The sequence below is a fragment of the Homo sapiens genome, chromosome 7 (assembly GCF_000001405.40).
Source record: "Homo sapiens chromosome 7, GRCh38.p14 Primary Assembly".
Lineage (NCBI taxonomy): Eukaryota > Metazoa > Chordata > Mammalia > Primates > Hominidae > Homo > Homo sapiens.
Window position 1 is genome coordinate 110,836,919 of NC_000007.14, and position 27,480 is coordinate 110,864,398.

The 27,480-nt window shown below is 34.9% G+C and overlaps 1 protein-coding gene across 20 annotated transcripts in view, besides 1 other annotated feature; it reads right to left on the minus strand.

Moving 5' to 3' along the window:
* The window catches only part of IMMP2L (inner mitochondrial membrane peptidase subunit 2), an 899,849-nt gene that overhangs the window by 174,275 nt on the left and 698,094 nt on the right, over positions 1-27,480 (minus strand). For 2 of the 20 annotated variants that reach the window (XM_047420926.1, XM_017012703.2), the window contains exon 7: positions 130-27,480. This exon is cut by the window's right edge and continues 21,416 nt beyond it. The exons of the other annotated variants lie outside the window; for them this stretch is intronic. The gene's annotated coding sequence lies outside the window, so the exon portion shown is untranslated. Of the gene's footprint in view, positions 1-129 lie in introns of those variants that run through there. 20 annotated transcript variants of the gene reach the window in all.
* Positions 13,194-13,752: an enhancer, noted in NCBI's record as "OCT4-NANOG hESC enhancer chr7:110490168-110490726 (GRCh37/hg19 assembly coordinates)". NCBI's record gives its function as "activates a minimal SCP1, AML or CMV promoter by ChIP-STARR-seq in naive and primed H9 embryonic stem cells {active_cell/tissue: H9 hESC(naive and primed)}" and the evidence as "EXISTENCE:reporter gene assay evidence [ECO:0000049][PMID:30033119]".

Below are 27,480 nucleotides of genomic sequence, written 5' to 3' on the forward strand. Positions count from 1 at the left end.
TGAATTACCACAACCTTTCTGAAAAGTAATATGGCAAGGTCCATTACTATTTAAAGGTGAAGATACCTTTTGAATCAGTAATCTCAAGTTCAGGGATTTTTCATAAAAATTAAAGGCAGAATACCTAAGTATTTATGTACAAGGTTGTTTATTGCTGTTAGTAATGGCACAAAACTAAAAACAACCTGCTCATCAATAGAGAAATGATTAAATAAAACATGATACATTCATATTATGGAATATTATACAACTATTAAAAGGAATGGATTACATCTACAGGTATTGACATCAAGGCAATGTCTATAATACACTGTATAAAAAGAAGCAAGTTACAGAATATGTGTATGGTATTCCAGTTTAGGAGAGAAGAAAGGGAGGGAGAAAGAGTAAAGAAGGGAGGAAAGGAGGTGAGGAGGAAAGAGAGAGAAAAGAGGGGAAGGAAACAAAAGGCAGAGAGACAGAGAAAGAGACAGAAAGGGAGAAAGAGCAAGAAAGAGGTAAGGGTGGGGAATATGCAAAAATGTATGTATGTGTCTATCTTCATATTAAAATAAAGAAGGACTACTATGCTGCAGATGATTTTAACACTTGCTACACAAAGACATGAGGCTGAAGGAGGGAAGATGAAGTTATTATTAAATTTTCTTTATTTACTTCCGTAGGGTTCTATTTGGTATAGAGAGAATGAATTACTATTGCTGCCCGCCATCATTTAAAAAAAATAGCTTAATGAAAAAGATAGGTTGATGTCAACTATACAGGGGCCTCAAGCTACTTAAGAGAAAACCGATTTTTAGTTCATGAAAATTTGAGATGAATGGGGGTTGGGAGGAAGGCAGGAAGGGTAATGTTTACTGAAAGTGTATTTCTGAATGACAGTGGAGACAAACAGGTGCTTTCCTTCCTAACCGGGAATCCCAGCATAATTTAGACATGAAAATGCCCAGAAGGCCTGGCAATTGAGCCTTTAATTTCTACCTGTAAATTGCAATTTATATGTTGGGGATGGCTCTATTGAGAAACCAAAGACTATGTAAGAACATATTGTTTTCGGCCCTAGACTAGGGCACTCAATTTGTTTTGGTCAAATGAATTGCGGGAATAACTAAATCTCACTGTTGTTCCAGCAAAGGCCTTGGATTAAGATATGCATTTAACATCATAGGTAGAAATAGTAGTTAGAATTTGTAATAGACTAGTTTTTAGCTTCCTAAATAATCATATTCAGTCAGTAGTTATCTGGGCCTTTGATCCTATATTCCTGAAGAATTTTTTAGCATGCACACCACATAAATACACATTTATCTATAAATAATATACATGTTCTACTATTAAGCAATATTTTGACTTAATGCTTTATGAACATAAATAGAAGTAGACGTTTTATTATATTGTATTTATGCATCTTCAATGGTTTGTCCTTTGCGTTTCTTGTGATGTGTGCACTCTTCTTTGGGGTCTACAGTTTTATAGGTTGCTATGGTTTGAATGTGTTCCCCGAATTTCATGTGTTAGAAACTTAATCCAGTATGGCAGTACTGAAAGATGGGGGCCTTAAAAAGGTAACTGGATAATGAGGGCTCTACTCTCATGAATGGACTAATCTATTCATGGTTAATGGATTAATGGCATATCATAGGAGTGGAACTGGTGGCTTTATAAGATAAAGACCCGAATGAGGACGTGAGCATGCTCAGCCCCCAAGCCATATGATCAGCAAGAAGGCCTTAACCAGATGTGACAACTCAACCTTGGCCTTCTCAGCCTTCATAACTATAATAAATAAATTCCCTTTTAAAAAATTAATTACCCAGTTTCAGGTATTCTGCTATAAGCAACAGAAAACAAACTAATAAACAGGTCCTAAGACTTTATTTACTGAGTCCAGTTATATGTTCTAATATATACATGGAACAGTTAATTTATTTGAGTCAGGAAAAATATATCATAAGGATGATCTCTGACTGCCATTCAGCTGTTGATCTTAATGTAGCCTTAAATGTTTTAAGATCTAGTGATTTTGTTTTCCATGAATATTCAACACTTTAGATCTAGTAGATGTTCTTATTAATATGATAATAACAGCATACTTAATATCACCGCATTCTCCAGAAATCAGGGATATGTTAGTTTAACAACAAATTTCAGTGCTATTGTTTGACCCTTAAATTTCTTCATTTGAACCATCTTAATATATGAAAATACAGACTTAAGAAAAAATTAGACGATGATTCACAGTGAAAATTTTCTATTGTTACATGAAGGACAGACCTTGGAATATCTTTAAAAAACTAATTCCATTCGCTATTAGCAAAATTATGCCAAATATGTATTAGTTATGAATGAACATTAGTAGAAACATCAAATGAACAAATGATATTCATTAGGATTTGTAAACACTCCTTGGATAATAAAAAAAAAGTCTATTAGGATAATTCAGGCTGTGCTAAAAGGCTAATTCATTTTCAACTTAGGTTAATACAAATGCCATTCTTTCTTGACCTAGGTATAGATATATCAGAAATCATTTTTATGACAAAAGAGGTCCTTACAAGAGAATGTTGAGTATGTAGTCCTTAACAACTGCCTCCTCCTACAGCTGTACCTTTACCCCAAGCACTCAGTATATATATATGAATATTCCAGATTATTGATTTGAGACAGTGCAATGAAGTTTATTTAAGCACATAAATGCTTAAACGTGTGCACATATATTTTAATTAATATTAAACACATGAATGGATAATGAGGGCTATGTATGTGTTCCTATATTAAGCAGATATATCTACCAACCTATACCTGTTATGAATAGATAACAGCTATATATGATATCTATTCATATTAATCAATTAAATAATTAATTGATTAATAGCTGCTTATATTAATTAAGCAGATATATTTTAGTAAATTAGAACATTTAAAGACTATCATTGTTTCATTCATATAGTATCAACTAAGCTGATATACTCTGCTTGCACACATCCCTCCCTCCCATGGTTCTATCCACTGTTTCTCCTTCCTTCTCAGTGCTCCTGGATGAGTCTTTGATGGGCTACACTGACAGACTTCTCTAGTGTCTGGCTTTTGTTTGGAATTAGCCAGCAGAGGGCCAATGAGAAGAAAACGGCAGAACATAGAGAATGAGATTCCCTTTCTGTTGGGCTACAGTTTGGCAGAAGTCCAGGTTCCTTGAACGGTCACAGCTGCTGCTAGAAGTTCCCTCCTATAGCTACAACCTCAACTGAAGCTCTTTGTAGGTCCTGGTAGTATCTCCCCACTTTCACCCTCAGACATAGGAGCGGTAATAGCTCCTACTATTGCTAGCCCAGGAGTGCTTCGCCATCCCGGTTTTCTGTTATCCTTTTTCATACCTTTGTAAATAGTTTCCTATCTACAATTCCACCAAATTGAATGTGCCATCGATTTCCTTCTGGAATCCTGACCCATATGCTTATACACAGATGATCTATTAAGGCTCTATAACATATAAAAATAAACAAATTAGAAATTGATTCTGCTTTCAAACAGTTTACAATCTGGAAAAGGAAATACATGTGGTTTAACCGATATCATTGGTTAATGTCTGCTTAGCTAAAATTGAGAAGGTGATAGTACTGTCACATAAATGCAGAGGGTGGGGTGGAAAAAGGTAGAAAATTACATGGAATAACTTGTTCTCTACATGCTGACTTGAAATAACTTATTTACATATGATAGTATGAAAGTGTATTTAGAAACATTTTAACAAGATTTTAGAATATCTACCTTCCTATAATTTGTGTATATGTAACATATTTGAAAGGGCAATTAAAAATTACATGCCCTTGCTCCTAATGATTGTATCACATATATACTCATTTTATGAAAAACTTTTGTCTCTTTTCTATATAATATTTGTTTTTTTAACTTCTATATACAAACTCTCAAGTACAAAAATGTTATTTCATAGAATATTTTAAGCTCTCTATTCTTAATGGAACTATTAATTATACATTTTGGCAATTTGGTAGGGATAAACTCAATTTTGGTAGTAATATAACAAACCATGAGCTGGATTCTAATAGTGAGAAGGCACTAGGGTTTCATAAAAGGATACTAGTTAATGGTGTTTATTTAATTCAAGGGGCCATTCAATAAACTTGAAAAAGCACTTTTCAAGTTTTACATGAATAGTTAAATTTAGATTTTCAAGCCCTACTGGTATATCAGATGAATTAACAAATGTATAACACACGGTTTCCTTTTTTCCTTTTTTATTGTATACATTTAAGGTGCACAACATTATGTTTTGATATATATATACCCATAGTGAAATGATTACTATAGGTAAGCAATTTAACATATCCATCATCTCACATAGTATCCTTTTAAAAATAGAACCTTTACTTCAAAACATTTAATACAATTAAATGTTTTAATATGATGAGATGGATATAAACAACAGATGAGACCAAAAAAGGACATGATTCTTGTCTTTAAAATATTTAATGAAAAATCTATGCACGAAAATTAATGATAGATGACAAAGTAGAATCATTTCTCTATAGATGTTTATTTTTAGATAACTAATAAGGCTAATCTAGAATCATTTAGTTTAATTAGAGTTTAACAAATATTCCCACATGAATATGTTCATGCTTGCTTCACAGCTTCCTCACTTTCTTTTATCATAATAGATATGTCATTCACACTGCATTTCAGATCAAATTTTACATGACTTCAATAGATACATTATAGAATTAACAAATATTGAAATACTATTGCTTGAAGACTTTTTTTTAAAGAACTGGGGCTTAAGAGGAAAATCAATTTTCAGATAAGACCTACTATACCTGGACTTGGCAAACAAAAAGTGCTTACATATTTGCAGAAGTAACTGTAAAGATCAATGACTACATTATCAAATTGTCTAAGAATTGATGTAAAATTCAACTATTTCACCCTGTCCCAATGGCATGAGTTTCAAAATATACAAACATAAATATGTCTAAGTTAAAATAAACACTGGGTCAATAAATCTCAAATTTATAAAGTACACTCAAAGCTTTGAACTGTACAGCCTCAAGTGATACATTAGCAGTACAGACATACATTAAAGCACTTAGCATGAAAATTGTCCACTGTAAAATGGGGCAGAAACACATTAAATATTCTTATCAATCTCAAGCCCAAAAGGATTACAATTTAGAACATATGCAGTTCAGTTATTCAAAATGGACTCAGTAGCTTCTCCAAAAATTTCCTAACTATTTGGGGATTTTTTTTCCTCTCCACTTTTGAATCTGCTGAACAGGGAGAACAGGAAGAAAATATTTCAATAATTTATTTTTGTTTATTTGTCTGAAATAGCAAATCATGAAACACTCACTGAACATAATTAGCTCCTCTGCACTGTGATTCCAAATCTCTCTGGATGCTGGGCCAGCTGACCAGATGGTGTGCTGTAACATAATGCCTTTGAAACAGAGGCTTGAGTTCGGGTCCACAGGCCACAGGACAACAGAGGCAGATTGCACCGTGGAAGTGATATATTCAACTCGGAAGGCCTGGGGCTGGCAAGTGCTACTGTGCTCTTTGCCAAAGGGCAAACCAAATGCCATCTTCCTCAAGCCTCAGGCTCTATTGTTGTACGTGGCAGCTTATTGTGTTTTTAACCTTTGGGGGAGGCAGAAGGAGGGGAGATTGTGAGAGGTCAGGAAGACAAAATAGGTAAGGAAGAAGGGAAAGTTAATCAGTTTCCAAAATACTTATTACCTGCTATGCTGAGAAAGGATATGACGGCATTTGCAAAAGGATAGGCTGTTCCCCTAAATTACCTTGTATACAAAGGAATTTTCTTAGGAATCTTTTTTTGTTCTTAATTAATAAGACTGATTGGTTAGCAATCTGCCTTATGACTAAGCCTGACAGAGCTTAATTGAAAAGAAGCTTAATTGCAGGAAAGCAATGGAAGAAATTCATTAGAGAAGTCTTGAAATCTGAAAATTATGGGCAGAGCAGGCTACCCGAATGGAAATTGGGCAATTTAAGATGTCTTAATTAGATTTAAAACCACAGCTTAGAAAAACTAAATTAGCTATATCGAATCAGATAAAAAAAATCTGAGATAAAATGCATGGTTATTATTGGATTACTCAAGATAGTCTGTATAGCTTTGTGCTGGTAATTCTAAAACTCAATCTTTATGAGGAGTAACAACGACGACAAAAAAGACAAAGAAGACAGTGAACATGAACTTTTAATGGTATTGAATTTATTCCAAGCCTTATAGTAAATGTTTAAGATGTTTTAATAACTGCCCACTGCCAATTATCTTGAAGAAATCCAAAAATGGTAAGCAAATAGAAGCTTAATTTCAACTTTGTTGGCAAAAAAAGATGAAGAAACAAACCAAATACTCCAATTTATTACTGATTTGAGATTTAGACATTTGCATAAAACTGTTGTGGTTTGATGGTGATGACAGTATGGGTATGGAGGGGGCCAGTCAGTCAACAAAGTAGTATACTTACTAGATAAACATGGGGCATTGGAGTTAAAAATAAAGGAAGTAGACAGGAAGAGAAAAATATCCAAAGGTATTTGGATAAAGCTTGTCACTTATTCGGTTATATTATTGGGTAAATATGTCTCAGGCATCATGCTGAAGATTCATCTTAGAACAAAATATACAAGGTCCCTGCTATAATGCAGAATAAAACTCGGTGAACAGGATGGACATTAAGCAGAGATAACACAGATAAATGTAAATTACACATTGTAATAAACACCAGAAAAAATATAAAGCCATCAATGTGACATGATAGCAGGAAAATGTGATATGGATAAGGGCCTTGCTGAGGAAGTCATATCCAAGCTAAGACCTGAAGGCTGAGGAAGGAACTTCTCTTGGCTAACCAGTGCCAAGGGAAGAATATTCTGGACTAAGGAAGTGGTCCGTGTGTCGGCATGGGAGGCAGAGAGGGTGGCCAGGGTGGCTAAGGCAGGGCACATGAGTGAAAGGGCAGGAGAGATCTCTGGGATAGGAGGAAGGGGCTGGGTCCTGCAGACTGTTACAGACTGGGTTTCGTGCTAAGACTTAGGATCTAAGTGAAGCCTGGAGCCTTTGGATGGATTCGAGCAGAAGAGTGACATGACAGGATTTGCAGTTTTAAAAGATCACTGCCATTGCTGAGCCAACAGTGTGGTAAAAGAGAAGCCTCTGGATTCCCAGTGTGCGCTGGCTAGTGTATTCATCTGAGAAACATTTTTCGACATCTATTATTTGCCAGTTCCACTGAGGAGAAGAGAAATGCAAAGATCAATAAGCTCAGAGTTTTCTTTCAAGAAATGTAACAAATTATTAAATAAATATGGTTTATCACAGGTAAATGTGTATTTAGAGGCATGTACAAAATGCTAAAGGAGACTAGAAGGAAACTTCATAAAAGAGATAAACATGGAACTAGATCTTGTAAGGACATAAGAGAGAAAATGTTTCAGACAGCAGCAATTGCAAAATAATGGAGTCATAGAAGAGTTCAGTATGAAATGGAAACCAAAAAAAGTTTAGCAGTTTTGCACCCAGAAAAAAAGAAAACGGAGAAGGGTAAGCTTGTAACAAACGGATGGGGGTCTTTTATATGCTAAGGTATTTGCCCTTCATCCTATGGTTAATCAATAGGGGAGCTTTCAGATGTATTCAAGCCAGATGACACTGTAGTTTAGAAAGATAAATCTAGTCCTACGCAGAAGACAGAGTGGGAGATAAAGCACTTAGTGGCAGGGAAGACAGTTAAGAAACTTCTACAGCAGTCCAGAAGGAGAGATGGTGAAGCTACAACCTAAAAGACAGCATGGAAATGGCAAGGATGGACAGTTTCTCTCCCAACTCCACATTTCCATCTCTGCTTCTCCCACAACCAACTATGGCCAGGAAATTTACTGGTCACAGGGTTCCATTACATGTACACCAAGGACAACATAAAAGTCGGTGGAGTCAAAGTGCAATTAAGAGGATTGAAAGGGGAGGCCCAGAAAAAGAGTCCCAGGCACAAAGTTTCCTACTTCCTCATTTTATCTAGGAAATTGGATGGCTCTTTTATTTCCAAACTCTCATCAGCTGGGAAAGATTTAAAAAGTAGCATGTGTCATAACTCCAATATTTCAATCTAAAATCCAAAAAAGCAGCTGCTTCCTTGCAAGAACATGCTCAGAGCTTTCTCTCTCACCTTTCCTTTCCCCTTTCACCTTCATTCACTGTGTTCCATGTTTATTTGTATACCTGTCTCCCTCAGCATCTAGTACAGTGCTTAGCAGACAGTGCACACTGAATTAATATTAGGTTAATGTTTATTTATAAAGATAGTAATTGATGAATGAAAATATATGTTAATTTATTTTTGTTCCTGAGAGAGCTTTTGAGAAGTATCAGCTCCATTCTCCATATCCCAGATTCTGACAAAGGGAGTAGGATAGAGCCTGCTCGTCTGTGTTTTTAAAAAGCTCCCAGCTGAGTCCTCTCTGCAGCCAGATTAAGAACTCCTGCCCTATAATCTCCTGACTGTTAATGACTTAAGGGCCCGGGGTAAAATAAACTTTTATCTTTATCAAATTGTTATATTTTTATCAGCTATATTTACACTAGTTTCTCTCTGTTCTATGGCATTCATCCATACCTCTTTACTAAACTTATTTCCAACTGATTCTTCTTAGTAGATCATAGGTACTCTTTATTATAATTTTCCTTGAATTCTTTGCAGTGCTTGATCGGACTGTCTAACACTTCATCACAAACTGTCTTCTCCCTTAACTTCACGATTCCACATTGCTATGGTCTAAGTGTTTGTGTTCCCCCAAAATTCATATGATGAAGCTTAAGCACCAATGTGATGAGGTATTTAGGAGGTAATTAGGTCATGAGAGTGGAGCCCTCATGAACGAGACTAGTGCCCTTATAAAAGAGGTGCTAGAGAATTTCCTTGCCCTTTTCCCACCATGTGAGGATAGAAAAAAGGTGCCAACTATAAACCAGGAAACAGGCCCTCAGCAGACACTGAATCTGCCAGCACACTCATCTTGTACTTTCCAGCCTGCACAACTGTGGAGAAGTAAGTTTCTGTTGATTCTAAGTTTCCTAGTTTATGGTATTTTGTTATAGTAGCCCAAATGGACTGAGACACACATTGTTCTGGGTAAGGCCTCTTCTAATGATCACCACAATCAGGTGATTTGTTATCACAGATTCAGCTGTTAATAATCTAGTAGTAATGTTAGAAAATATACAGCCTTTCATTCTGATCATTTAACCCCCAAGAAAACCGAGAACCTGAACAGCGAAGTGCCTTGGCCAAGGTAACATGGGTGGTTACTTCCAAGAACACCAAGTTTCTTTAGCTAAGGCCAGGATCCTGCCTACCTTGCTTCACAGCGTCTCTCCAACCCTGATTTCTTTTTTTTTTTTTTTTTTTTGTTGTTGTTGTTGTTGAGACAGAGTCTCACTTCGTCACCCAGGCTGGAGTGCAGTGGCACAGTCTTGGCTCACTGCAAATTCCGCCTCCCAGGTTCAAGCAATTCTCCTGTCTTAGCCTCCCGAGTAGCTGGGACTACTGGCGCCTGCCACCACGCCTGGCTAATTTTTGTATTTTTAGTAGAGACCGGGTTTTACCTTGTTGGTCAGGCTGGTCTCGAACTCCTGACCTCAGATGATCCATCTGCCTCAGCCTCCCAAAATGCTGAGATTACAGGTGTAAGCCACTGCACCTAGCTCAAACCCTGATTTCTAATTCAACCTTGAATGCTTCCAACTGGCCATGGGAAAATTTTACCTGGATTTCCTGTTTTCACTTGAAAATAAATAAGGACATAGACATTCTTAATATATTAGCTGTTATTCAAATCCTTGTGTTTGGCATTACTCTATTTCTGTCATTGACTCAATTTCTTCAATTACCATCTTAAATAAACAAATCTAATTAAAATCCCTCTGTTACCAAGCCCTGTTGGTTTTTGACATCTACCTTGTCCTCTATCCTACCATGGCTATTATTAGAGTCAAAGGTCTCCTCAAACTACTGTCTAGAACTAAAGTTTCTTCAGTGTTTTCCAGATGTCCTCTTTATTCAACCTTTCATCAATATCACAGTTAAGAAATATTTTGTTATGTCACATTCTCAAATATTACATTTGTGTATCTCTAACAACACAGCACAAAAAATATTGCATGTGAACTATTCAAGCAATGTTTGTTAAATTATGCTGATTTAAAAAGTCAAGCTAGACATATTCTAATAAATTAAAGTTACAGGACTATTTCAATAAGTTTTAGGAGTTCTTAGACCATAATACATTGAAAAGGTTTGCTGAAAAGCTTTTTAAGATGTACAACATGGATAAGGAAAAAAAGTAGTGTAATACATGCAAAGCACCTGATTTTCTGTTTGTACTTTTGTACTACCATAAAACATGTTTTATCTTAAATATATTTCTTTTAGCCTGATTATAATCGATTTAATACACGCTCATTTGAGAAACTCAGATAATACAGAAAATATAAAGTGAAAAGTAAAATAGCATTACTTTGTCTAGCTAATCACTGATCCTAACTTGAGCTGTAGGTTCAACATAACCTCAATCAAAAGCAAGTTGTTTTGTAGATATTAACAAACTGATTCTAAAGTGTACCTGGAGAAGGAAAAAACCTGGAATAGCCACTCAATATTGAAGGAGAAGAAGAACATCAGAGGACTGACATTAGCTGATTTTAAAGCTACAGTAATCAAAACAGCATGTTATTAGTGAAAGAATAGACAAAGAGATTAACAGAACAAACTAGTGAGCCCAGAAACAGGGCCACAGGATATAGTCAACTGATCTTTGACAAAGGAATGAAGGTAAGTCAATGGAGAAAGCACAGACTTTTCAAAAAATAGTGCTGGAACAACAGGACATCCTTTTGCAAAATAATAATAATAAAAAATCTAGACAGACTTTACACCCTTTACAAAAATTAACTCAAAATCAATCATAGACCTAAATGTAAAACACAAAGTTATAAAACCCCTAGAAGATAACATGGAAAAAAATAAATGACGTAGGGTATGGTGATGATCTTTTAGATACAACATCAAAGGCACAACCCATGAAAGAAATAATTGATAAGCTGGGCTTCATTAAAATTTAAAACTTCTGCTCTGTGAAAGATAATGCCAAGAGAATCAGACAATAAGCCACAGACTGTGAGAAAGTATTTGTAAAAGAAATGTCTGATAGAGAACTATTATCTAGAATATACAAAAACTAATTAAAACTCAACAATAAGAATATAAATCACCTTTAAGAATGAGCAAAAAGTCTGAACAGACAACTCACCAAAGAAAAAATATGGTTGGTAAGCAAGCATATGTAAAGACGTCCAACATAATATAGCATTTGGGAATTTCAAATTAAAACAACAATGAGATACCACCACACGCCTATCAGGAGGGCCAAAATCCGAAATGCTGACAACCCCAAATTCTGGTGAGGATGTGGAGCAACAGGAAATCTCACTGATAGCTAATGGGAATGTAAAATGATAGTCACTTTAGAATACAGTGTGGCAGTTTCTTACAAACTAAACATACTCTTAACATAGGATCTAGCAGTCACACTTCTTGATATCTTCCTAAATAAACTGAAAACTTATGTGCACACAAAAATCTGCACACGAATATTTATAGTAGCTTTATTCATAACTTCCAAAACTGGGAAGCAATCAACATGTCTTTCAGCAGGTAAATGGATAAGTAAACTGTGGTATATCCAGACAATGGAATATTATTCACTGCTAAAAAGAAACAAACTATCAAACTATCAAAAGACATGTAGGAAACTTATATGCAAATTACTAAGTGAAAGAAGCCAATCTGAAGAGGCTACATACTATACGATTTCAAATATATGACATTCTGGGGAAGAAAAACAAAAACAAAAAAACTATTATGACAGTAAAAAGATCAGTGGTTGCCAGAAATTAGTTGGGAGGAAAGGATAAAAAGTCAGAGCACAGGGATTTTTAGGGCAGTGAAACTATTCTGTATGATACCACAATGAGGGATATATGTCATATGCATTTGTCAAACCCATAGAATGTACACAACCAAGAACGAACTCTAATGTGAACTATAGACTTTGGGTAATAATGATGTGTCAATGTATGCTCATCATTGTAACAAATGCACTACTCTGGTAGAGGATGTAAACAGTGGGAGAAGCTGGGGTATGTGTTTGTGAGGACAGAGGATATATGAGAACTCTGTACTTTCTGCTCCATTTTGCTGTGACCCTAAAAATGCTCTAAAAATATAGTTTACTAATTTTAAAAAAACTCAGTGTACATATCTATCTGATTTTTTGATAAAGAGTAACTTACAAGAAATGAACAGAAATCATAAAACATAAAATAATCGAGAGATCTGTCTGTACTTTTAAAACAATACATGTCTACGAAATCAAAAGTCAAATTACAATATAGGAAAAACATTTGCCCCAAATATCACTCATAGTCCCTTAATATTATATAAATCAATTTGAAAAATAAATTTCAATTAAAAAAGACAAAGTTCATGAGAGAAAAATTCACAGACGAAATACACAAATCACTAATGAACATACGATAAAATGTTCATTGTCCTTGTAATCAAAGCAAAATGTAAATTAAAATAATGATGTTTATCACGTATCAAATTAAAAATTAGAATAAGTGACAGAAATCAGTGCTAAAAAGGTAAAAGTGAAATAGATGCTACCTTACACTGCCATTGGGATTTTGCAGCAGTAAACATTTTCTGTAAAGCAATTTGACAATATGACAATAGCCTTGAAGATGTTCCTACTTTTAACCCACTAATTCTACCTCTAGAAATCTGCTTTATGGTAGTTATCAGAAAGGTAGAAAAGATTCATTTATTAAGATCATTCTCATAGAATTATTTATAAATTTAAAAAATACAAACAAAATTAGATTATGCCATATAAGTGTTCAGTAACTAAAATATGTTTCAAGTGGTCTTAGAGAATGTTCATAATATAATATTTAGAAAAATATTTTCTTATAGAGAAAAATTCAAGATGCATATAGGGAAAGTATGTAGAAGATAATGAAATTTTAAAATGATATAATTGTCTACCTAGAAATTCAAAGAGAATCAGTGAGAAAACTACTAAAGTCAGAAAATATAATGCATAATCAGAAAATAAATAAGAAAAAAGAGCTATATATCAGCAATTAGGGTAGGAGACTGGTAGGACTTGTTTTCTGCTATCAAAACAGGATCTGGTCCATACAAAATAAAGCAAAAAAACCAAGTAGGAACCAGCGATCCCTAGCTGCCTTCATTGCTCATTGGCATAAGACACTCCTACCAATGCCATGACAGTTTACAGATGCAATGACAATGACCCAGAAGTTACCACCTTTCTCCATGACAATGACCTGGAAGTTACTGCCCCTTTCTTTAAAAGTTTGAAATGATGGGCCTCTCAATTTGCATTGACCTGCCCCTTGATTTACATATAACTGAAAGTGGGTTTACATATGTAAATATAAGTTGCCAAGAGCCCATACATTGACTCTGGCTGCACTGCCTATGAGTTAGTCCTGCAATGCAAGGAACGGTACCATTCAATTAAAGACTGCTGTCTAATACCACTGGCTCGCCCTCATGCCAAGAACCCTCCTGGGCTAAGCCCCAATTTTAGGGCTCACCTGTCCTGTAACACTAACACTATAACAAATTAGGAAATATAGTAAAAAATCAAAATTCTTAGTAAAAAAAAAAAGAAAAAGATACTCAAAAGTCAGGAACTATAAAGAAAAGACTGATATATTTTTATGTGCTGTTGGACAGAAGAGCTGACAAAAGTAATATAAAAGATTAAAACTGGAATATATATTTATAAATGTAGACAGACTTGCTATTCATAATCTAGATAGCAAGTCAGAATATCAATAAGAAAAAGAAAATATGCCTCAATTAAAAAGCCAAAAAAGACATGGAAAAACAATTTGCTAAAGAAAAAAAAGATTAATAACCATGTAAAAATTTGTTCAGCATCACAAAAACCTCAAAGAAACTAGGAAAACAAAAAGACTTATGTTGATTAGATTGGCAGTAATTAGGACGTTGATTAAGTCTAATGTATGAGGTTAAATTCTTTCTGACTACTTGGTAGAGTATGAATGTATATAAATTTTATGGAGGACAATTAGTAATATTTGTCAATGGACAAAATTTTAAATGTACATATTCAAAAATTGTGAGATTTCAATTCTAAAACTTATTTTAGCAATATAAGTTCACAGGTACACAAAGATTTATATAAATAGATCATCTTTACACAAAAACTCAGGATATACAAACACACTAGACACCTCTTGTAAGCCACTTCATATTTATTAAGTCTAATGTAGACGTTGTACCATTCAAGCAGGTGCATGATGCACAGAGGAATTAATGCCCCATAAGCAAACTTTGGCCAATGGGAGACAGGAGACAGCAGATAAATTACTCTCCCTTCCTTCCTTGTCCTGAGACGTTGTTTATGTTGCCTTTGAAGATATGATTCTGAAAGACTGAGCAATCTATCATGCTTGATACTGAGCAGTGGTCAGCTCAGTACCTCATTCTCATTTTTGCTTTCCTGACATCCTTACCTCATTTTCCTTTTCCTAAATGTGAGGCCATTTTCCAAAAGGAGAAGGGAAATGAGGCAAGAAAGCCACTTACCCTCTAGGATTGAACTAACTCACAAAATTATGACACAAAAGCCTTTACCTTACACATTGTTATCTGAAAAATTCTTAGCTAAAAGAAATGCAGAAATTCTAAATGTCCATCAATAGGAATTTATGCAGAAATTAAAAATGATAAGATACATTGATTTGTATTGATATATGTGACAGATGGAATTTTCTAATAGTGGTCTAGCAATATTTCTGGTTTCACATTTTATTTCAGTGTCGTTCTATTTCTCTTCTAAGAGCTGGAGTCTACATCCCTACCCTTGAACATGGGCAGGCCTTTGTGAGTGATCAACCAATGAAATCCAGCAAAATTGACACTGCATGACTGCTGAGGCTGTAATACAAAAGGTGATACAGCTTCCACTTCGCTCTGACTCTTTCACAAAAGATTTGCCTTTGGAATACAGCCATCATTTGGTGAGGAAACTATTATATCAGAAACTGTGAAGGGTCTGAGATTTTATCTTTCTTCCAAGTGAACAATTTAGACTGCCACAGGATGGATGGGTGGATGGAAGGATGGATGGATGGATGGATGGATGGATGGATGGATGGATGGATGTATACACATATATAGCCATAAACATCCATATTAAAATTATGAATATTGCTTGATTCACACACATACATATACATACACACAAGAAACATGAGGCCTCTGAGTCATAGACAAATACAGTTCATTACTCACAGCAAGAACAACACCTTGCATGAGTTTTCTAAGCCCAAGTCCTTGCAGGGCAACATGATGGCCAGAATGGTACCTGCACATGCAACGGGGTGCATTATAAAACAGAAATCCCCAAATTAGAAAATTTTTGATCTTCTATAGGGCTGTTGATGATGTGCCAATCCTCCCTTCAGGAGAAAGAGAAACATTATCTTCATTCTGGAATGCAAGCAAATCTGGGGAGGAGGACAGGTTTTTATCTTTACTACCCTGGACTGTCTCCAGGAAGGGAGATGTCTCTAAGCTTCACTATCCTGGAATGTCTCCTTATAAAAACGTTATTGTAAATGCCTTTGTTCAGAGGGCCTGGATCATGTAGAACCATGAAATATTCATGGAGAATTGTCTTCCAATAGAAACCCCGGCCACATAGAGAGCCCAAGTGGAGGCATTCCAACTGATAGACTAAACTAAGATCTAAGCCCACAGCCAGCATAATTTGTCAGAAACATGAGTGAAAACGTCTTTTCATGGTTCCAGCTCCCAGACTTTGAGCCATCCCAGATGATACAAAAGTGGAGCAGAGCTGCTCTGTCCCTGGTGATCCCTGCCAAAGACTGAAGATACTGCTGTTTTAAACAACTACATCTTGAGTTGGTTATGCAGCAAAAGATTACTAGAACAACATGGGAACATGTCCATAATAAATCACATAAGCAGTTCCTAAACAAAATGTATAACTTGATTACATTTGCATACACACACACACGCATATATCTGAGTACACACACACACACAAACACATTTATACAGGCATAGAAATAAGACAAACACAAACATACACAAATGCACAAAAAATCATGATGTTAGGCCAAAATGGTTTGTTCTGGTGGGACTTGAAATTTGTACTTTATACACATATGTATTCATTGGTATTGTTCTGTAAACAAAGACATGTATTAGTTTTATCAGAAAAAAAAACCTTAGCTTTTGTAAAATAATGTGTATACACCTTAATCTCTAGATTGTGTGTTCATGAGCTTTTATTCTTCCATCAACTTTCTATAGAGAGTAGGCACTGAGCGCGTATGTCGTGATGTGAAGTAATTAGGATAGCAATTAGGATAGCAGTGGAAATGGTTTCAGACAGTACAGGCTGGTTTCCTTTGAACAGAAATGTGATGCCATTTTTCTATAATGTTAGTTACCTTGTGAGATGATAGAACCTTTAGAGATCTTTTAAAGAAAAAAGTGTTTTCCTATACATGAAGTCAGATAATGCCTCTTGTTATTATTTTGAAACTTGATATTGACTATAATTTTTCTATTTTTCTCTCTAGAAGCACCTGGTGAAAACAGATTTAAGAAAATTCTGAAAACACATGATTTTGAATTACAATTGTTAAAGATAAATGGTAAACATAATTTTTATGTAGGTTTCTTCACAAAATCAAAGAGAGTTTCAAGGCAAAATAGTCAATACTAACTAGTTATGCAGGTTACCTGGAAAACCTATAGTTCATTGGACTATGTACTTTAATATGTGATAGCCAAAGAAATGACAGTTTATATAGGACATGATAAACACACAATCTATGAAATGTAACACATAAATGCTGTTCTCAATTTAGACAGAATCATTTTTCTGTTTAAAGTATGGACTAAGAATATTATTAAATCAAAGTGAAAGCAAAAGAGCCTATGTCTTACAGTCACCAATAAATAGTTCCAGATTCTTGAAACTAATTAGTGTTAATTAGGTAGGTACACATATATTTTAAATATAGGCATTCTAATATTCTACTTGTATGTAATACAACCATAAGTTTTAGAAAGAAATAACACTGCCTACTTTTCCACTTAACATATTTATATTTTCCATTTAAATTTTTTTCTGACTTGTTTTATATATCAGTGGAAAACTTACATAAAGAATACATTTAAATATTACATCCACTATGCCTTACTTAATCCCTCTGGAATGAATCCTATGGAATGGTAATAGTGAACAGACACTAAATCATTTTGGAAAATCCACAGGAGAAACATGTATTCTTTTTTTATTAATATAAAATTCTGGTCTTTTAAAGTGTTCCACATTAAGTAAGTTTCACTCTGTCAAAAAAATAAAACTGTGCTTTTTGCTCCTCCATTGTAATAATAATGTAGCTTGGAACATGCACTTAAAACATTACTGAATAACTCCATATTGACCTCAAATCCCATGAAAATAGTCAATCTAGCCAGATGAAATAACATTAACAGATAATTGATATGTGAGTACACTAATATTCCAAGATTAATAACACTTAAAACACATGTAACTAACATACTCTGAAAATAAATACATACAAAGAGGTTTTCATTCAATAATCAGACCTCAAATCAGACATCACCATCTTGAAATAAAATAGTTTGCTTGAGTCTCTAATAACTGCTCGTTTACTCATCTCTGCCTCATACTAGACTATAATATTCTGGAATTCAGTGACTGTCCACATGCAGCCTAGTGCCTAGACTATATCTAATATACAGCAAGTATAAAGAAAATATTTGCTGTTGAATAAAGAGAAATGAAAATAAAGCTTCTAGATCCGTCTTTCCTTCTAGATGTGTCATATTCCCAAACCCATGTTAACAATTAAACTCATGAAAGGACAGTTATAATACACATTTTTAAGGCCAGTTCTATCACAATTTAAGAAAACACACCAAGATAACAGTCCAAAAATGTTCAGTCAGTTAAAAAATATGCACCAAAAAGACAGACCCAGGGCTGTGAAGAATCAAGGGAAAAGAAAATATATGGGGAAAAATTTATCTTAAATGATTGCTAAGCTTTCTGACCAAGAAGAAATTGCTGCTAACAGAAAAAAACAATTAATGGATAATCAAAGTTATACAACCTAAAGTCCTACATGTTAGAGTCCTACATGTTAGACACTTCTATCTTTTCTGTATGACTAAAATGTTCAGGATGAAGAGATCTAATGCCTATGGGGTGATATGACAGTACAGTGTAGTATGATATGTAAGAAGTTCTACGCTGGAAAGGTGTGCATTTTGGCTCCACCTCCACCACTGACAATTGTTTGGACCTGGAGAAGTCATCTCACTTCTCAGGACTTCATTTCGTAAGACTGATATGCAGGATGTATTCAATGATCTTCCAAATTTCTCTGATTCTATGCTAGAAACCATTCTGGGCAGAAGCAGACACAACAAAGAAAGAGAGCTAATTCCTCATTATCCTAGCAGAGAATGTTTAATATCCCTTATACCCTTAGCCATCTGTCAATTTATTCAATGTGAATGACATTTTTATTTTCCCAATCCAAATTTATCCCTTCTCTTTCTTTTAAAACTCTGCCAAAATTCATCTTCTTCAAGATTTCTTGCCAAACATATCTCACCTTTATTTGATCACTATAATCAGTCCCACAATACTTCAATTAGATATGCCACTCCTTAAACTTAAACTTAGACAGGTACTTGCCAATCGATATCTTAATTTATATATGGAGACCTATCTGGGTAAATCTCCTTACAAATTATACTTACTATAGGAACACTAATAATCAATCTACTCAATACTCAAATAATAATGTGATAGACCGAACAATAGAAAACTGTATGCTTATAGTAAAACAAATTCAGCTATAAGTTTTGAAAATATGGAAAGCTTCAATTTGCTTTTTTCACATACTTCTTATAATGTTTGAACTGTTCATCTACTACAGCAATCATTCTTTTGGCTAAATGCACTTTCTTCCAAAACCACCAAATTTATAAAACTTTCAGTAAAAAACAGTAAGAATTATATCAAAATTACTAAAGACACTCATCGTCAAGTCTGGTCTGTTAAAGTAAGGTTGAAAGGGACAGGCAGTTTAAAGCTCTTAGTTTATTCTTTTTTTAAGACAAGGGGTCCATTTTGTGTCAAACTTTAAAAAAAGTCCTCAGCTAAAGGCATATATGGATTACCACACGTTGTAAGTATACTTAGCTAAGGGCAGAATAATGCCACTGCCAAGATAAGTAGGAAAGCAATGTTAATTTCTAGAAGGTAAACCAATCTCCTCGAACATGCTACCTAGAAATTAAGGCAAGACAAAAGCAGCTTCCATATCCTGGTGATGTATAATGAAAGTGACATTATTTTATCTGATACAAATTCATGAAAAAGGAAAATCAGGCTATTTTCCTATAAAAGATAAAAAATTATATAAGCATCTTGAGCAGCTAGCAAGATCTGACATGCTCAAATCAATTTGGCACGTAAGGGAAATTGATTTGGAAAAGGGAGAATATCCACTTTATCTTTCTGTTACAAAACCAATAGTTATATTTAATGAAAATTTACGTCAAGATATGCTTTGAATTGTTACCGATTAACCAACAGAGGCTGAAATCAGTGGCCTTTAATTAATAAGAAATAACAACTCAGTAGTTTAGGCTTCCTAAATGCTGATGAGATGGCTTGGTGTTCATTAAACAGCAGTGGTCTTAAGAGGCAGGGAGTCCTGGGAGCAGCCAGCTGTTTGGATGAATGACTCATCATTAACCTTGATGAAACAAAAACCACTGTCTCTGTCAGACATTCTCTGACATTCATCTGATCGATATTAAATAGCACCATGTAACAGGTCAATGTGTTCAATTGTCTGGGGAACATCTAGCAGCTCACTTATCCTGGCAGGCATATCTGGAGACCTGCAAAGGGTCATCATTAAGGCTTTTGGGATAGCTATTTGTGTGCCATAGATAATACTTTCTCTAAGGATTTTCAAACACAAAACTATGTCTGATTTGTTCTAACTTGATGTTTGAATTCATCAGTAATCCAAGTACTGGAGCAAACTCAAAATTCTTTCTTGGGGAATATCTGGTCTTGATCAGGTGAAACCTATGGGGGGCTGGCCTTTTGTCTAGCCTAGCATACCAGTCTGGCTCTATAATTTGCATAAATAGAATAAAAGTCCTACCAATTGTGTGATCCTGTATAGTTCTCCCCTTAATCAGCATTATAAAACACCTGCCCTGCAGGCTGTCTTCAGATTGTATATTATTAAACTATTCTATCTGATTCCTAAGAAAAATTTGACTAACATAAAAGACATATGAAAAAAGAGAGCCCAAGCCACTGATTTTCAAAATGCTACTGAGACTAGTTGCATTAGAATCATATTAGGTACCTGTTAAAAATATAGATTCCTGGATCTCATCTCAAACTGACTAAATCAGAAATTCCAGGAATAGAGCTCAACAATCTGTATTTTTAACAAGAACTTTATTAGTCTTATGAGTACTCAAATACCACTTTAAGGGATTCAAAATCCAGTCAGTCCTGAGGCACTTGAGGCTCCTCTATATTTGGGTAGCATTTAACCTCTGTGGATATTCATACAACTTCATTATTTGAAGCATCTGCTTGATTAAGATGGGTTTCAATGTTTAAAGTCCTAATTTATTTTGATAACTATCAGAAAACAAGTATGTGATTTCTGCTTGTGTTAAAAAATATTAAAAAGACACTGCTAGTACACCACTCAGCATTAACTCCATCGCCTTGTAAGAGATGATATACATTCGCTTTTCTGATATTAAAACTCTTTTATTCATAATAACTCCACTTTCTACTAGGCTGCCAGGAAGCTCATAACCAAACAGATGCCTAACTACAGCTGAACTCGTCTCACAGTAAGCAAATTTGTTTCTGCCCTTCTCTTTGATTTCTTTCTTCCTTTCAATTACATTTGTATTAATCTTTTTTGGTAGGTTAAACAAGAAAACAAACTTTCAAAGTTCTCTTGGAAAGAAGCAGAGTATGAAAAAAAAATCTCAAATAACAATTACAGTGGTTTTATCAGTTGATTTAAAGTCATCATCCATATCCATTTGGGCTTGGGCTTGTTCTATTTTTCCCCCATACACTTGCAGAAATACAGTAGGTCTAGATTAATAACAAGGTATCCTCCTTGTTCCTAAAAACTGCAGGGAGATGGTCTCTGTTTCCAGACTAAAGTTTTTGCAACACTAATTTAATCAAACTCCTTGGACTAGCAGAGGGGGAGGGGGACAGGGAGAATCAAAACTAACCACGTACCAGTTTGAAATCTACAGTTTACTATCAATCTGGACAGATAACTTAGACTTCAGCCTTGTGGATTAGAAATATCCAGAACCTATAGCATTAGCTGCAGTAGGTCTGCTGGAATCAAGTATCAATTTTAAAGAACTTTATTTTATTTTATTTTATTATTATTATACTTTAAGTTTTAGGGTACATATGCACAATGTGCAGGTTAGTTACATATGTATACATGTGCCATGCTGGTGTGCTGCACCCATTAACTCGTCATTTAGCATTAGGTATATCTCCTAATGCTATCCCTCCCTCCTCCCCCGACCCCACAACAGTCCCCAGAGTGTGATGTTCCCCTTCCTGTGTCCATGTGTTCTCATTCTTCAATTCCCACCTGTGAGTGAGAACATGCGGTGTTTGGTTTTTTGTCCTTGTGATAGTTTACTGAGAATGATGATTTCCAATTTCATCCATGTCCCTACAAAGGACATGAATTCATCATTTTTTGTGGCTCCATAGTATTCAAATCACTTCTTTCTACTTTCTGATCATGTCTTTCTGAAATTACTGGATCAATCATTTTGGTTTGTAGATAACCCCAAACAGATAAGCAACTGGTTGACTTTCTTCTTATTTCTTTTCTTTTTCACTGAAAATGAATAGTTGATTTGTTGTTTTGATTGATATAAAATGTAAACTTGGAATTCTGTAGGCCCAAGCAAACATTTTGTGATAAAAATGAGAGTGCTCATCAAAATTCTGAGGATTCCAATGTTTTTATGAAGCTTTTGACTCAGAGATCTGTATTATTAGATAATTTAGAGATTTTCAGAAGTATTTTTTCAGTCTGACTAAAGTCTGACTTGAGTGCTGTCTGGTATCTTTGGCCATATCAGAAAACCTAAATGAAAAAATGTTAGGAATTCCGATAAAGACAGTTTTTAGAAAATATTTCAGAGCAAAATTTGAGACTAAAAAGTTTAGTACAAATATTGATTTTTTGTTAAATAAAAATCTAGTATGGGCTGTGTGTGGTGGCTCACGACTGTAATCCCAGATTTTTGGGAGGCCGAGGCAGGCAGACTGCTTGAGCTCAGGAGTTCGAGACTAGCCTGGGCAACATGGAGAAATCCCGTCTCTACAAAAAAATACAAAAATAGCCAGGCATGGTGTTGTGTACCTGCAGTCTCAGACACTCAGGAGGCTGAGGTGGGAGGATCACTTGAGCCTGGGTGGCAGAGGTTGTAGTGAGCTGAGATTGTGCCACTGAAACTGGCCTGGGTACCTGGGTGACAGAGTGAGACCCTGTCTCAAAAAAAAAAAAAAATACGTTGTTTAGGAGTATACAGTTGTGCAAATAAAAATTTAAAATCTGTGTCTTTTGTCAGGAGTAAAGTGTAGTTTTTTTAGTTCTAAACCTAGAATAGGAAAATTGTTCATGTTATTACAGACCATCCTTCACAATCATACTCATAAAAAATTATGAATTGTACTTTTAAAACTTGTTCTCATCTACTCTGGACTTAAACTGATGTTATATTTTTAACCTAAAACATTAATATGAGGAATTCATGAACCAACCTGTCACATGTGTCATTGTTTAGTTTTGCTGTTGTTATAATCAAAGCTTCACCTCATTCTGAACTGATTAAGTAGAGATCAACATCAATGGTTAGATGGTCAGAATAAACAAATCAACTGTGGGGCAGCATTATATTCCATTTTGTGGAATATATAAAGCCAAGAAACTGAATTGGAAAAAAGAGGAAAATACAAGATAATTAAAAATTTAATTTTAACTTATAAATAGCAAATTTTTCATTTATCCTAAGATTTAAAAAATATTTCAGTCACGTGAATATGCTATGACTAGAGTAATAAATTTCATAGAAAATATTACCTCCTATTGAGAGATATCTCTGTATGTAGTACATTCTTGGAGCCCTTAAGATTACTTAAAAGGCAATGTCATGTTGATGGTAATACCTTTTATTGACCAATTGAATGTTGACAGATACAATTATAGAACTTAAGTATATCTTAAATTCTATACTTTCAGGAAGCTGAAGAAAAAATGTCTTATTCTCTGCAAGCATGTTTGTCTATAATTTATAGTTAGTACAATAAAGGTATTATCAGAATCTTGGCCTTGAGATTCATATAACTAGATTACTGCTCATCTCATACTCTACAAAATTGGAGAACAATAATGTATACCGCACTGATGCTGCAACTATACTGACAGTTCACAAATTATAGAGTTTAAATTTATAGCTCCCTTTACATCTGTCATCAACAGCTCCCAAATCACAAGGCTTGCAGGTGAATCCACCTACATTTTTTGTGTTAAAGCCATTTTGGAAAAAAGGAAACCTAAGAAAACTAAAACAAAGGTTAACTAAATTTCCTTCTTTTAAAAATAAAGTCAGGGCAATCCTTTCAATTTTGAAAGCAAAGTAGTCACAATTAGATGGATCTAGTCAAATAATAATGGATAAAAATGTATGTAATGAATCCAACTATTCAAAAATACTAATGTCATTATTTACTGATTAAAAAAATTAAAAATTCCTCAAAGGTATTTGTTTTATCTCAAAGCCAAGAGGTAAAAGAATGACTACCACCAGCAGTTTGTGTGTGTGTGTGTGTGTGTGTGTGTGTGAGAGAGAGAGAGAGAGAGAGAGAGAGAGAGACAGAGACAGAGAGACAGAGACAGAGAGACAGATCTACTGTAAGACAGAGAGAAGAAAAATAAGCTAAATTAATTTTTGCTAATTTAATTTCCATTAGAAGGAGAAAATGAAACATTTTTCCATTAATATAATGCTTTTTGGTGACGACAAACTTTTTTTTTTGGAGACAGGGTCTTGCGTCGGCTGCACTCAGGCTAGAGTGCAGTGTTGCAATATTGGCTCACTGCATCCTCAAACTCCCCAGGCTTAGGTAATCCTCCCGAGTAGGAGGGACTACAGGCATGCACAACCATGCCCAGCTAATTTTTATGTTTTTTGTAGAGATGAGATTTCCATATGTTGCCCAGGCTGGTCTTGAACTCCTAGGCTCAAGTGATCCAGCCTCAGCCTCCCAAAGTGCTGGGTTTTATAGGTGTGAGCCACCACATCTGGCCTTTTAAACAATTTTTTAATCCGGAAAGGTTTAATACACCAAAACTTTGTGAAGCCTTTGGAGAGGGGTCTTACCTCCAGATGACAGTTTTCTCACTGTAATTACTAAGAATTTAAATTTTCATTTTTCTGAAAATACTACTGAAAGGTCCCAAAAGCCTGTTAATGACCATAGGCCAGAAAGAAAAAGAACTGAAATATCCATTTCTCATTTATCAACTAATTCTGAAAACTTTAACCAAATTACAAAAATATTTTAAGGATAATTCAGAAGATATGAAACTTGTCAATCTGTTTACCAAATATGTGTCTATTATAATATCCAAATGCCTAAAGCAGATTCAGAAAATATGGGAAAACATATTAATTCCAATCAACACTATTATATTACAAGTATAAATTATGTCCACATGACCTGCATGGTTTATTTATAAAATATATATTTTAAGTGACTAATATGTACAACATTAATTTGTATATTAGAAGTTTTTGACATCTCTAGCATGCCTGTATTTTCTTAAATAAACTGTGTGCATGTATGGATAAGCAACACATATTACACTCATATATAAATACATGTGGATTTTTATACTTTTATAAAATCCCCCAGTGGGGATTCAGAATGTCTTTAGAGAAGACTTTTAAAGTCAATTTTTTTTAATATATTTTATTTATTTTTTTTTAGAAATGGGGCTGTGTTTTATACTTTTATAAAATCCTCCAGTGGGGATCCAGAATGTCTTTAGAGGAGATTTTTAAAGTCATATTGTTTTATACATTTTTTATTTTTTTTTAGAAACAGGGTCATGCTCTGTCACCCAGGCTGGAGTGTAGTGGCACAATCATAGCTCACTGCAGCCTCAAACTCCTGGGCTCAAGCGATCCTCCCACATCAGACCCCGAGCAGCTGTGTCTATAGATATGTGCTCCCAGGCCCGGCTAATTTTTTTTTTTTTAATTTTTTGTAGAGACAGGGTTTCAGTGTGTTGCGCAGGCTGGCCTCAAACTCCTGGCCTCAAGTGATCCTCCTGCCTCAGCCTCCAAAGTATTGGGATTATAGGTGTGAGCCACTGTGCTGAAAGTAAAATTTAATAGAAAAAAAATAAATTTACTTTTGCATTCTCAAAATAACTAAATCTTCCCCACTATTTCAGTGCCTATAAAGATCTCTGAAAAGACCTTCAGGTCTTTTGTGAACATATTACTTTATTTTAGACTTTCAAGGACATTTGTACAGCGAACAGCCTTGGAAGATAAAGATATCTTTCTCTAGAACAAAGAGCAAGTTTGAGTACAGCCTTAGAAAATAAACGTCTCTCCCTAAAAAGCAGAGAGCTGGCCCACTTACCTCCTCATATAAAAAATTCAGATTCCTGAAGTTCAAGACCCACCTCCTATAACGCCTGGCCCTCCACACATTACCCTGTGGAAACTGGGGGATCGGAGAACCAGCACAAATTCTGATACTCTGGCTACTGCTGTTGCTATGAGTAATAAACTGCCCTTTTTCTCTGACCTGAGTCTTAAATCCTCTGTTAGAATCCATGATCCAATGGCTGGCTTACACATTAGTTTGCAAGCAGGGTAACATTTCAGACCCTCCACAGCTCTTGTCAACCTCCAAATCTCAGGGGTTTATAATAACACCAGTTTATTTCTTGTTTCCTTACATTTTACTCACTTTACATGTTGGTCATGGGTCACGGGGGATCAGCTTAGCTCTGCTCCACACATCTCCTTCTTTTGGGGATCCAGGTTAAAAGAGCAGCCCCCACTGGGACATGTTTGTTCTCATGACACAAAGAAAAGAGCAATGGAAAGTCCACAGTATGATTTTTCAACATTTTTGCTTGGTCATGGCATACTGGCAGACTTACATGGAAGGTCCCTAACTTATAAAGGTTTGACTCAGGATTTTTCCACTTTCTGATGGTGAGAAAGCAATATGCATTCAGTAGAAACTGTACTTTGAATTTTCATCTTTCCCCCGGCTAGCAATATGCTATATCAATACTCTCTCAAGATGGTGGCACTCTCTCTCAATAGTGGCAATGAGCCATAGGTCCCAGACAGCCACATGATCATGAAGTTAAAACAAACTGGTACTCAACAGTATACTGTGTGGCCAGATGATTTTTGCCCAACTAATGTAAATGTTCTGAATACTTAAATATTAAGTGCTAAGTTCAATGTTTGGTAGGTTAGGTATTTTGAATGTATTTCAATGTACGATATTTTCAGCTTATGATGGTTTTATTGGGATGTAACTCCATCACAAGTCGAGGAGCATCTGTACTCTACTGACCAAAGCAAGTCACACTGATAAGCCCAATATCAATGGGATGCAGACATATTCTCTTCCCACAGGGAGAATTGAAACAGTATCACCCCAAATAGGAAGAAGTAAGGATGCATAACATACTTACAAAGCAAAGGAGTGTATAATAGAAACAATACATTCTACCCCACGTAACACATATTTAGAAAAAGATAGTTATGTAGGATTTGTTATGTTAGTTAATAATATAGCTAATTGTATTAGTGCAAAATCAAAAATTTGAAAGACCCGTTCCATGTTTCAAAAGTTTCTAATGTCTTGCATTATACTTATGATAAAAAGAAAAATACCAAAGTTCAGTGATTACTTTTTAAAACAAGAGTAGAAATGCATTTGATGAGATGACATATAAATTGAAATAAAGTTAGTACTAGTGATTATTTTTTAAAACAACAGTAGAAATGGGTTCAATGAGATGACATATCAATTGAAATAAAGGTAGTAGTACAGTTGGTATGAATGTGTTCAAATATACACAGGGACACACAAGCATGAAAA